Here is a 12,896-nt window from a genome sequence, read left to right on the forward strand (position 1 = left end):
GGGTGGGGCGTTACTCCTATATATCATCACAAGAAAGGGATTCTCTGGAGACTAAATGCAAACTGGAATATCCCCTGGAGGCTGTCCCCCTGATTGGGAAATATGAAGAGACTAGGGGTGCTCAGTGTTTAAAATAAAACTTCAGAGAGTAGAGTCTGAGTGTAAACCCTTCAATTCCATTTAATCTCTACAAATGTATATAATGTCAAAACATAGTTATGTCATATATTTACACATGTGCACACAAATCTATTAATACATGTTCATAAGTTCACACATATGCTTTATGTTATACATATATGCATTTATACATCAACTGATGTTATTATAATCATAGTTTTACAGACTCAATTTTCCTTTGGGTTTTTCCACATTTCCCCACTTTCTTTAACACTTATTTCTTGAAAATTTTGGTGGCTGCTTACTGAGATTTTACTAAAAAAGAGCTTCAGAATTTCATTTAGAGTAGATCTTGTGGCAAATTCTATTTTTTTGATCTGAAAAAATGGTATTTTTTCTCTTTTTTATTTTTAAAACTTATCTTGAAGCATAATATGTAAAGTGAAATTTGCAGATCTTAATTGTAAATTTCAGTGTGCTTTTTATGAACACATATACTCATGTGCCCCATGCGTACTCACAACATTTCCATTGCTGCAGAATTAAAACATTTTGTTCTAGTCAATGAAATTATTCCATTACAGAATAGATATGTGTACCACATAGAATGTGTACCTGAGACACACTTCCCCTGGGGACTCCTTATAAAGTGCGGTGAATTGTGTGTCTTTTTTCCCATTGAGGAGGCCAGTGTGGAAAACTAAAGACTGAGATGATGTAGAAAACTGCCCTGAGAGGGAACCTCACTCTGCCCTGAGGTAGGGAGCCAGCACTGGTCAAGGCCCCGGTGGAGGATGGCAACTCTGTTGGGTCCACCTGGCCTCTGGTCACAGGCACGATGGACCTGGGCCTGGGCAGCAGGGGGCGCTGTGGGGCTGGCACTTAGAGTCTGTGGGGCTCTTAGCTGGGAAATGATACCTGGCCCTGGCCTCTGCCTAGGGCTCACTGGGGCCAGCAGCTGGGTCCTCTCTGGGCCCTTTGGGAGCCTCAGTCCAGGTACATCCCAGGCCTACTCTTCCCAGAAATGACCCAGCCACTGGGACTGCACACGGGCCCAGGGAGGGGCACGCTTGGGCAGGGGAAGAGGAGCACATTTGCATGAAAGGCCCATCTCTCTCCTCTAAGGCTAGAGGGTGAACACGAGAGACCTGCCGCGTGGCTTCCTCTGCAGAGATCCGGGGAGTCTGCACCATGGCCTTGACCCCACTCCTCCTCCTCATTGTCCTCCTTCACTGCACAGTCCAGGACAGCACAAAGCATCCTGATCCCCCAGCTCACTGACACCACCTCCCAACTCATGCCAGAACTGTCCTTCCCTGTTCTGCTTTATTCAGTGTATAATGGCTGTCTGTGTTTTCGGGATCCCTCTGGCAGCCCGTGCCGACTCAGTCGACCTCTGCATCTGCCTCCCTGGGAGCCCTGGCCAAGCTCGCCCACACTCAGCAGTCAGCATAGCAGCTATGCCATTGAATGCTTTCGGCAGCAGCCAGGGAAGGCCCATCAGTACCTGATGCAGCTTAAGAGTGATGGAAGCCACACCAAGGGGGCTGGGATTCCCAGTCACTAGTTCTCAGTCTCCAGGACTGGAGCTGACCACTATAGTGTCATTTCTACAATCCCGTCTGAGGATGGAGCTGACTATATCTGTGGTACAGATTGTAGCATTGGTGTGCCGTTTGGGTAAAGCACAGATAAATGGGGAAATGAGACAAAAACTGTTTTTCTACTCTGCTACCAAGGTTGAAAAATGGCTCTCAGAACCAGTGTCTGCTGACCTGCATACTCAAATATGTTATGTGTGTGTGTGTGTGAATGCGTGTGTGTGTGTACTTTAATTTTACGAGTAGAGAGCCAGATATTTTCTGATTCCTGCTTCAAGTTCCCTTGGAAACAGCTTTTTAGGCCAGGCCTCTAGGGAGTGCACTCTGATCTGTAACTATTGCGCAAATATTACAACAGAGCCTGTCTCCTCCTGCTGGTCTGGTGTATTGTGGCTATATAGGGGGGTGCAAAGAAATTCTCCTTTTCATATTCAGACACTGGGACTCAGCTGCATACCTCAGTCCTGTCTTATTGAGATCATTTAAATGATCAATCTTAGAAGAAAACTTCTGACTTAAATAAATTTTAGAAGTCTATCAACATGCTAGAAAGCATATTCCAGATAAATAAAAATAGAATAAAGATTTATAGAGATTGAGATGAAAAGCTTTAAACCCTTTGGGGGTTTCTGAAGGTATTCTCAGGTGTTCAGTGCCTGGGATTTGGGAGTAAGGGATAAGGAGGAGAACTTATTTCCAACACACTGAAGATGACAACAGATAAGCAGAAAGTTACCAAAGAAGGAGGAATAGAAATAGCCATGAATATCATCCTGGTAACCCTGATCTGGAATGAAGGATTTCATTTATTTACTTATTTATTTATTTATTTTCAAAATAAGTACATCTCATGGAGTCCTTGGCAAAAGCTGAAGGAAGTATTGCTTCAGGAAATATCTGTCCAGTAATTAGGAAACTACTAATGTGATTGAGCAGAGACTTCATTAACTTCACATGCAAAGAATACAGACTTGCAGAACCCTCCTGGAAAACCATGAAACAATACATCATCAACAATAACAACTATAGCAAAAACAGCAACAACATCAACCAAAACGCTTTACAAAAAAGTTCTAATTTCCAGAACTGTCACATTATATTATTTAAAATTTCCATTTGTCAAAGCAAAATAATGAGGTAGGTTCAAGACACAGGAACATATTGCCATATATAACGGAAAATAACAAAGAAAAAAACATTAAAAAAACAAAAAAATTAAAAGTTGACAAAAACTATTTTCAAAGAGGCAGAAACACTGGTCTTATTTGACCAATACTTCAACTCCATTATTTCTCCATTTGCTCAAAGAAATTTTAAAAATGTAAAAATGTTCAAAAAAGCATGAAAAGAATGTATCTCCAAATAAAGAATATTAATAAAAGATATAAAAGAAAGAGTCATTGAAATAAACATAGATTAATTGATATTATCCTATTACAGGAATAGAATGAAATAAGGGTGGAAAAATACGCAGGACCTAAAGACCCTCTTGACACCATCAAGTGTACCAATATACACATAATGAAAGGCCCAGAAGGGTAAGAGTGAGGAAAAGAAACAGAATAATGTAATTGAAAAATGGTAACCAAAACTTTCCCAAATTTGACAAAAAGAAACATACTCAATCCCTAAAAAGTTCAATAAACCTTAATCAGCATTAATCGGAACTCATAGATATAAAACTTATGGAAAGCGTCATGGTGGGATAAAGCTTACTAAGTTCTAAAAAGTCAAATAGACAAAGACGGTTACACCAAAAGTGTGTCAATTTCTGTTTCCTGCCATGATGCAATAGATGGAGTTCTTACACCATAAACAACACTTTAAGACATAATCGAGTGCATGTAATGACTATTTCCAGACAGTGAATATTGGCCAACAGGGATAACTTGATTATGTAACCTCAGAGAAAGGACCCTAACACGCAAATGAGCACTGCAGTGGACACGGATTTCTTTTTCTTCACTTTTTTTTTTTCGAGTTAGGGTCCTGCTCTGTCGCCCAGGCTGGAGTACAGTGATGTGATCTCCGCTCACTGCAAACTCTGCCTCCCAGGTTCAAGCAATTCTCCTGACTCAGCCTCCCGAATAGCTGAGATTATAGGCACTCACCACCATGCCCAGCTAATTTTTTTGTCCTTTTAGTAGAGAGGGGGTTTCGCCATGTTGGTCAGGCTGGTCTTAAACTCCTGACTGATCTGCCCACCTCGGCCTCCCAAAGTGCTGGGATTACAGGTGTGAGCCACTGCACCCAGCCAACACAGATTTTTTTTTTTTAATTATACTTTAAGTTTTAGGGTACATGTGCACAACCTGCAGGTCTATTACATATGTATACATGTGCCATGTTGATGTGCTGCACCCATTAACTCGTCATTTAACATTAAGTATATCTTTTTTTTTTTTTTTTAGACGGAGTCTCGCTCTGTTGCCCAGGCTGGAGTGCACTGGCTCTATCTCGGCTCACTGCAAGCTCCGCCTCCCGGGTTCACGTCATTCTCCCGCCTCAGCCTCCCGAGTAGCTGGGACTACAGGAGCCTGCCACCACACCTGGCTGATTTTTTGTATTTTTTTAGTAGAGACGGGGTTTCACTGTGTTAACCAGGATGGTCTCAATTTCCTGACCTCGTGATCCGCCCGCCTCGGCCTCCCAAAGTGCTGGGATTACAGGCGTGAGCCACCGCGCCTGGACCACAGATTTTTTTTTGGAGACAATTTTTGGCCCAGAAGGAGGTGGTGACCAAGATAATCGTGAGCTTTTTACACAGCTCAGAACACACAGATGAGAAGTCAGAAAAACATAGATGGCTGAGACTTTCAGAGCAAGACACCGAAAAGCAGGCAGCTACACAGAGCAAGGTCCCTGCGCTCTGCATGAGGCCCCTTTGGATTTGGTTGGGCAAAACATGACACCTTGCAGGGGGCTCTAATTTAATGAATAGGCCTTCCCCTACTGGGAACTAAGATTCATATTTTTTCTCTCTGTCCTGTTTTTTCACCACTGTATCTACAAACCCTAGGACTCAGCCTAGCGCAAACAGCCAATTAATACCATGTTTGTTGAACGAATATGTGAATTCACCTAAATAGAATTCTCAGTAAGAGAAAAAGATCTGAGGAAAATAAAGTGATTTTTACTGCTTTATGTGTATTTTGAGTTTGGGTTGTGAATTGATTCAAGGGGATATATTAAATTAGAATGTTGACTTCTGTGTTTAGAGAACAAGAGAGGAATATGAACTTGAGTGCTGGAAAGGTGACCAGCAGGATGGACTGGGTCCCATGGGTTTGTGCAGAGACCATGGAAAAGGATGAGCCTCCAGTTACTAAGTAATTGAACAAGATATATTTTAGGTAAACACTTATTTTATAATCACCTGTTGGAATGGGTGATAACTGTAGATGTGACTGTTATTCATTGACTCTCTGAAAAAATTATTTATTCAAGGCAAGAAAGATTGGAGAATAGTTTTATCTTGAAACACTTTTCATAAACATGACATATTCTTGCTAAAGCAGATACCATATTCATCTCCAAGCTGGAAGGGTTATCTCATCTTCCCAAACATGCACCCCTTATAGTATATTTTATCTGCTTTTATGGCATGTCCACTTTCTTGGTCACAGACATTGTAAGCCTCAGAGTTTAATTTGTTTCTCTACTGTATACGTATGGCACCTCCAGTTGGTCACTGAAGCTGGAGATTGAAATCCTCTACATCCCCCAGATCTGTCCTCTGGCTCTATGGCGCTGTCCTGTTCCATCAGACCTACATTGCCCTTCCTTGTGTGAACCCTAACCTAAGTCCAATCTCTACTCCATGAAAGCTGTCTGTAACAGAAGCCTGGCACCTCTTTCTCCTTTTTATGAAATAAATATCTATTTCTATAGATAGATCTAGATCTAGACATTAATAGCTCCAAATCTGTAGAGGACAAAGTGCCTAGTTCTCAGGTGATAACCAACCCACATCTTCTGTCCTGGAATATCCAGCCCCAGATATCACCCCATTTTCTCCTCCCTGTCTCGCTAAATATATATTCACCCACCAAGCCACTGGGTTTGTAGTAATTTGTCACAACAAGAACAGAAAAATATGTGGAAAAGAATGGAAGAGGAGTGTTGCTGTTAAAAAAAATACTTAAAATATGGAAATAGTTTTGGAAGCAGACAAGAGATAGAGTTTGGCAGAATTTTGGAAAGCATGTTAGAAAAATCCTAGATTGCTTTGAGCATGGTGTTAATGCAGATATGGTTGCTAAAGACTTGGCTGGGATGGGCTCAGTAGGAAGTCAGAAGCATGGTAGCGAAAAAGCTACATTTTCTTTCTTTTTTTTCTTTCTTTTTTTTTTTTTGAGACAGGGTCTTGCTGTGTTGCCCAGGCTGCATTGCAGTGGTACAATCTTGGCTCACTGCAGCCTCCACCTCCTGGGTTCAAGCGATTTTTGTGCCTCAGCCTCCCAAGTAGCTGGGACTACAGGTGTGCGCCACCATGCCCGGCTAAGGTTCGTAATTTTAGTAGAGATGGGGTTTCACCATGTTGTCCAGGCTAGTCTCCAACTCCTGACTTCAAATGATCTGCCTGCCTCAGCCTCCCAAAGTGCTGGGATTACAGGCATCAGCCACTGTGCCTGGTCTAGTTACATTTTTCTTAGCAAATACCTAATTATACATCTACAGACTGGAAGTAGAAATACAGCCAGTACCAGCACTTTGGGAGACCAAGGAGGGCAGATCATAAGGTCAGGAGATCGAGACCATCCTGGCCAACATGGTGAAAACTTGTCTCTACCAAAATACAAAAAAATTTAGCCAGGTGTGGTGGTGCATGCCTGCAGTCCAAGCTACTCAGGAGGCTGAGGCAGGGGAATCACTTGAACCTGGGAGGTGGGGGTTGCAGTAAGTCCAGACAGATCACACCACTGCCCTCCAGCCTGGTGACAGAGTGAGACTCCATCTCAAAAAAAAAAAAAAAAAAAAAGAAAGAAAGAAAAGAAGATAAAAGAAATACATCCAGTAAAGGAGCTCCTGGTGCACTGATGGGAGTTCACAGGGAATTAAGAGCGCTCTTTTGACTTTTGTGGGAAAACCGGAGGAAAGGGGATCATTGTTTTTTGGTGGAAAACAGGTTGGCTGGATTGTTTCATGCAATTGTATGGAAAGCAGAACAGGTGAGCAGCAAACTTGGATATTTAGCTGAGAATATTTCCAAGCAAAGTATTAAAAGTATAACCTCATTCATTCTTGCTGCTTACAGTAAAATTTTGTGATAAAAAATGTGAAGTAAGGGAGGAAGTCTTAAATGGAAAGAAACTAGGGCATGATAATTGAGGAGATTACTAGCATATTTCACCAATTACTTGCTCATTCCCTCTTTTCTGGGAGACCCTAAAAGTAACTCATCATTTACTGTTTTCCATCCGCTTCCTTCCTTGTCTAGAATATGGGCCTGGACCCTCCACAAGATGCGTAGAGAAGTCAGAAGGCCTTGTCCTGTGCAAGCATTCAAGCATCCACTCCTCGCACTAATATTTCTAGACAGCAAACTGGTGATCCTTGCTCACCTGAAACATACATACGGGTTGGAGGAAGACAGAACCTAACACACCTTACCTGTGTGATGTTCAGGGCTGGCCTCTAACTTCTGAGAGCTTCATTTCACTCCACTTCCTACAAGGATTGCTCATGCCCTCCTTCACTTGTGGTGAAGTTCAAACAATACATTAGATTTGACATCTTTGCCAAGAGCTGTAGAGTGCAAGGTGCTCACCCAGAGCTACATCTTCCAGCAGATGAGGCTCACAGTTAAATCACTGCTATGGTGTCCGTCAACTCAGGCACTGTTGTGCCTTTTCACAGAGCATCGCCTGTTAACTGCTTCACCCACCCACTGTGGGAGTCCAGGTAGGAGGACAATGCCTCCCCACTAGCTGGCTCCTCTCTGGTTGTACCTGTGGGTCACACATGCAGGTGACGGTTTGTACTACCTCCTACCTGGCTGTACTCCCCAAAGCCAGGGCTGACACCCCTCACTGCACTTCCATTCCATCCCATCAGTCACAGGAGGCAGCTATTGGCTCATTACCCTTTGCAAGGAGTTCAAGGGTAGAAGTGGCCCATTTATAAGAATATTTATATGGACTATCTTGTATATCCTGTGAATCATGATACTGTTAAATCAACTCTAATACATCATGTTTATGTCCACTGAAATGATGATGATAAAAGGAAAAGTGATATCTGGACACGCAGACTGAAAAAGATCCCAAAGATTCTGCACACAAGGCCCCTATTCTCTGGGGACATGTGGGAATTCAATGGTCTTGCTGACATATAGAGTTTGCTTCACTCTGTGTCAATCTGAGGCATTTGTGACCTCAGAGTTGTGTTTTCTAAGAATTTACCATGTGTGGCAGCTGGACTTCAAGTTATACCTAAATATCTCTGTCTCCTAGCACTCACATCCCTGTACATATTGAAAAGGGATCACTAGTACAATTGATAGGATATTGAGAAAATGACTGATGCCAGGCCATAATACACTTTGAGTTTTGCGTTCTGCTCTCTCAGATCACTTGCTTTGGGGAAAGCCAGTTGCCATTTGTGAGGACACTCAAGTAGTCCCACAGGGAGTTTCATGCAGCAAGAAGCTGAGGCCTCCTGCCACCAGCTTTGTGGCTCAGTGAAACTGTAAGTTGATTCTATTGCCTTGGTAAAGTCTTCTCATGGCTTTAGTTCCCCCCACTGAAATCCTATTTTCAACCTCATGAGCCTATCTGAGCCAGAGCCACCTTGCTAAACTGCTCCCAGGTTTCTGACCCACAGAAACTGTGGGATTGCACATCTTTGCAGTTGCTAAGTTTTGTAGTATTTGATGTGAAGTAATTGAAACTGGATGCATCGAGAGAGGGGAATGGAGGTGGCAGAGTGGGTGGAATTAGGCCTGGAGGTCTGCTTTCAGTGAGATGTGATGGGACCATGGCAGACACCTCCCTGTTTCTGATTCCAGTGGATTGCTTACTGGGCCTGGCCTTTTTCTTATACTCCATGACTTCATTGTTAATACCCTACAGGAATTCTGTATGCGCTATGTCTTATCCATCTTCCTTGGGTAAATATTTAAATATAAATGAATCAAAACACATGGGCCACTTTCTAATCTTGATTGTTCAAAACTGAATTCCTCAAATTGAGGGGTATGATTTTCTTTATTGTCCTTGGTGCTCGTCTGCCAGTGTCTATCAATGGTAGAATCATGTAAACAGTCCCCTCCCCTATTTTGTTTCACTCTCTGAGGACGAGAGAGAAGTCTTGGCCTTCAACAGAAAATGGTCAAACTAGAAAGAGTAACACTTTTGAGCTCCTCAGTGAATGTGGCCTTGGAAAACCCCTTCACCTGGGCAGCAAAGGAAGAGGGAGAAAGACAGAGCCTGAACTGGTAGGAAGTCCTACCTCAAAAACATCAGTCAGTCCTCACATGGATGGCCAGGGCATTAAGGAGAACTAATTAAGTTAATTTCACATTCTCCATGACAAATGCTGTTGTCATCAGTAGGGACCTCTCCTCTCTTTTTCCATCCTCCTACCTGTTCTCACTGTCCCTGACTTACCCACAGTGAACTTTATGTTTTCACCTTTTATATCCCTATGCCTGGTCCTCTGCTGGCCTGTGCTGATCTTTTCATAAATATTTTTGAAATGAGAAGACGCATTTTCTTAAGTACCATGAAAGTCGACATCACATCCATCTTTCAGGGTCCTGCTCCCAGACTCTTCTGACTTATCTGTTCACTGTGCTGGGTTGGCAGGGAAAAGTCATCTGCAGCAGAAAAAGTGACAAAATGGAGATACATAGTGTGTCTTGGCCAAAAATCAGCCAACAGATGAGAGAGATCTAGGATTGTGAGAAGTTCTGCCGTTCCCCAGCACCTCACACTATTTGATGTCTCAATGTTTGTACATATCACTATATTTTCTAGAAGATGCACTACATCTAGAAATAGTGTTTGCTTTGTTTGTCCCCAAGCAGGACCCCACTCTCCACTCAGAGCCAGTTCACAGTTGCCTTCTTCCCTGGCCCCTGTGGAAGGAGCTGCTCAGGTGTTTGCTCCCAGAGCCCTCCGCATTTTCCCCTTACTGCGGCCTCCTCACAATGAACAATTGTCATGTTTTTCATTTCTCCTGTTCCTGTTATTCTAGAAATCCCTCAATCAAAAAGGATGGTTATGAATATAAGTTACCTGAGACAGAGCAGGGGTGTGGTCCATGGATGCTGTGACCTGACAGAGACCCAGCACTCAGGCCAACTCCACTCACATGATTCTGACTGAAAGACTGAAGTGTGCAGCAGGGGGAAATCTGGGTCTTTCCAAGCTCTGAACAGTGGTGCCCACATATCTGTTATCCCTGGGCAATGGAGCCTGCACTCACTGAGGAAGATACCACAGCTGTGTCTTCTCTGGGCTGGGTAGAGTCTCCTACTCACAGGTCTGTGGAAGGTGCAGGAGCTGCTTCCTCACTTACTCCTCCCGTGGGACAAACGCTGAATCTCACCCACCAACCCACCATATCTAAAGAATCATGCTCAGACTTCAGCTCTTCCTAGGGTGGAACAAAGATTACCAGGAGGATACACAAATTTGTGTGGACAGATCCTCCCTTTTCAGGCCACTGGAGAAGATAAAAGAGGCCTGAGTTAAGCAGCTTCCTCTGTGGGGCCACAGGAGGCGGTGTCCACCATGGCCTGGACCCCTCTGCTCCTCATGTTCCTCTCTCATTGCTCAGGTGAGAACTGGTTTTAGGTGTCTAGGGTTAGCTCCTTAGCTTGCGTCAGCCTCTCTGGCTCAGATCCCCAAGACATGTATCTCTAGTTCCTGCCCCAGCCCCCATGAGTGTCTGTGCTTGCAGGTTCCCTCTCCCAGCCTGTGCTGACTCAGATGACCTCACTCTCTGCATCTCCAGGAGCATGAGCCAGACTTACCTGCACCCTGAGCAGTGGCTTCAGAGTTGGTAACTTTGCAATATAGTGGTCAGCTGAAGCCAGGCAGCCGTCCCAGGTGTCTCCTGAGATACTACTCAGACTCAAATATCACTCAGCACCCTGGGGTTCCCATCCACTTCTCTGGATCCAATGATACATTAGCCAATGCAGGGATTCTGTACATTCCTGGGCTGAAGCCTGAGGGTGAGGCTATTACTGTTGTACGTGTCACAGCAGCTCCAAGTCAGCACTCCAGACCCACTGGGAGGTTACAAAAACCTCTTCTCTGATCTCCTGGCCTGGTGTAGTCACTCCTGCTGGTGGCTCTAATAAAGTCTATCTCACTGGGTGACTTATATTTTAGATCTTCAACCAGCACCTGATTCTTTTTTTCAGACAAGTAGATCTGAAAATGTGACTTTATTTTCTTCAATTCCACTTTCATATTGATTCATGCTCATACCTTCTCATTTCTTTCTGGTTTTCACAGGCAGAAATCCCTTGCTCAGAGACAAAAATTCTCTAAATTGAGACTTTGGAGGAGACCAAAAGAGAGTGGTTCGGGCCATGCCCGGCTCAGAGTCTAGGAGTGACTCAGAGATGCTTCTGGTCCCAGAGCTTCAATCTAGGCATTGGATACAATACCAGCATTCACAATGGAATTGTATTCTCTATATTAGCAACAAACCATCACAGATTTTGAAATAAAAAGAATATAATTTATAATAACATCAATATAAAATATTTAAGGGTAAATATTAAAAAATGGAAAGTCTTAAACTGAAAACTATAAAACGTTGAGAGTCATTACAAAAAAACCTTAAAATAACTGATATTCCTTGTTTGTAGTTGGAAAACTCAATGTGATTATAATTTTTATAATGACAATTCTTTCCAAAGTTATCTAAGGAATCATTGTAAGGTCTTCAGTAAAAATAGGTTTGCAGGGAATGAGGAGATAAAAAAATCTCAACAAAGAAATGAAAACTGTAACAGAAAACATCAATGAAACAACAGACCTGGGATAATCCTTCTCAGCTGCCATGGGATCTAACTGTATTTAAGAAAGGGGTGAGTAGGAAGGCGGCTGCCAAATCCAGGAACACAGATGTCATTTTGAGTGACCAAGGTGAGCCAAGGGAGGACAGCTTTAGTCAGAAGAGCATAGACCAGGAGCAGAACTCACATATCTGAAGCTGATGGGCAGAGTGTGGGTGCAATAGGCCTGGCATTGGGTGCTGCTGAGCTGAAATTATGCTGTCACCTGCAGTGCGCCCCTGGGGTGACATGGTTCTGGTTGTTCTTCACCCCAGGGAAGGACACTGTGACCTGTTATCTGTTGGAGGATGAGGACTCAGAAAGCTCTTTATAAGAGAGGGCACCAGTGTGATATGAGGGTCCCTGATTGTCTTTCCAAAGGTTGGAAATTGAACCCGCATCTTTCATTTTTGTGTAGAGAACCCAAGATCCTTTTCTACATAATCAAGGGTTATTTCCAATAGCTGCCTTGGCCTGTCTCAGAAAGAGTGTGGGTTTGTCTTACAGCAATGGTGCCCACTATTTATGGGAACGTCTTGTATACCCTGATCTATGCTTTCAGGTCTTTGACATCTCAGGTTTTTGGCCTACCTAATACTAGCCATACGTCTGGGTACTGTGATCTACCTCCTACTACACATATAAATGCCCATCTCAGCCTCATCTCTCCTTGGGATATAAATGTGTGCAAGGGATTTGAAGCAGCTCTGCCTTCTTTTTGGGTCCTAAGGATCAGGGTTATGGGTGTCTCCATCCTTCCCTGGGTCTTCTCCTCCTCACTGTCCTGAAACATGACCCAGACACAGGCTCCTGAGGCTCCTGCAGGCCTTCTTCCCTGCTTTTGCCAACTGCAGGTGGACCCTGCCCTGTGCTCACAGGTCTTTGTATCTCTCCCTGCTGGTCAATTGCCCTGCAGGGGCTTTTCTTATTTCTCCATTATGAGAATTCCTTTGTTTTTGGAGGAAATAATTTTTATCTAATTTTTGATTTACTTATCATAATCCTAGAATTTGTATAAAAACTCCTGTTTTTGCATAATGAAACAGTTGCTATCTCATGCCATTTTATTCAAAGTCATGTGCTTCTGTTCACTTACTGGTTAGAACTGTTGTTTAATCATTGACAAATATTTATCGAACACCCACTCTGCGCCATGT

The 12,896-nt window shown here is 43.3% G+C and overlaps 2 pseudogenes and 1 further gene; all 3 read left to right on the forward strand.

Moving 5' to 3' along the window:
• IGL (immunoglobulin lambda locus) overlaps positions 1–12,896 on the forward strand; it is an 896,838-nt gene that overhangs the window by 33,690 nt on the left and 850,252 nt on the right.
• On the forward strand, positions 1,481–1,792 carry IGLVV-66 (immunoglobulin lambda variable (V)-66 (pseudogene); annotated as a pseudogene). The gene is given in 1 exon segment: positions 1,481–1,792. A coding segment is annotated over 1 exon segment (312 nt).
• IGLVIV-65 (immunoglobulin lambda variable (IV)-65 (pseudogene)) lies at positions 10,460–10,946 on the forward strand (annotated as a pseudogene). Its single transcript is given in 2 exon segments — positions 10,460–10,505; positions 10,629–10,946. Coding segments are annotated over 2 exon segments (364 nt in total).

Source organism: Homo sapiens, chromosome 22 (assembly GCF_000001405.40).
Source record: "Homo sapiens chromosome 22, GRCh38.p14 Primary Assembly".
Classification (NCBI taxonomy): Eukaryota; Metazoa; Chordata; class Mammalia; order Primates; family Hominidae; genus Homo; species Homo sapiens.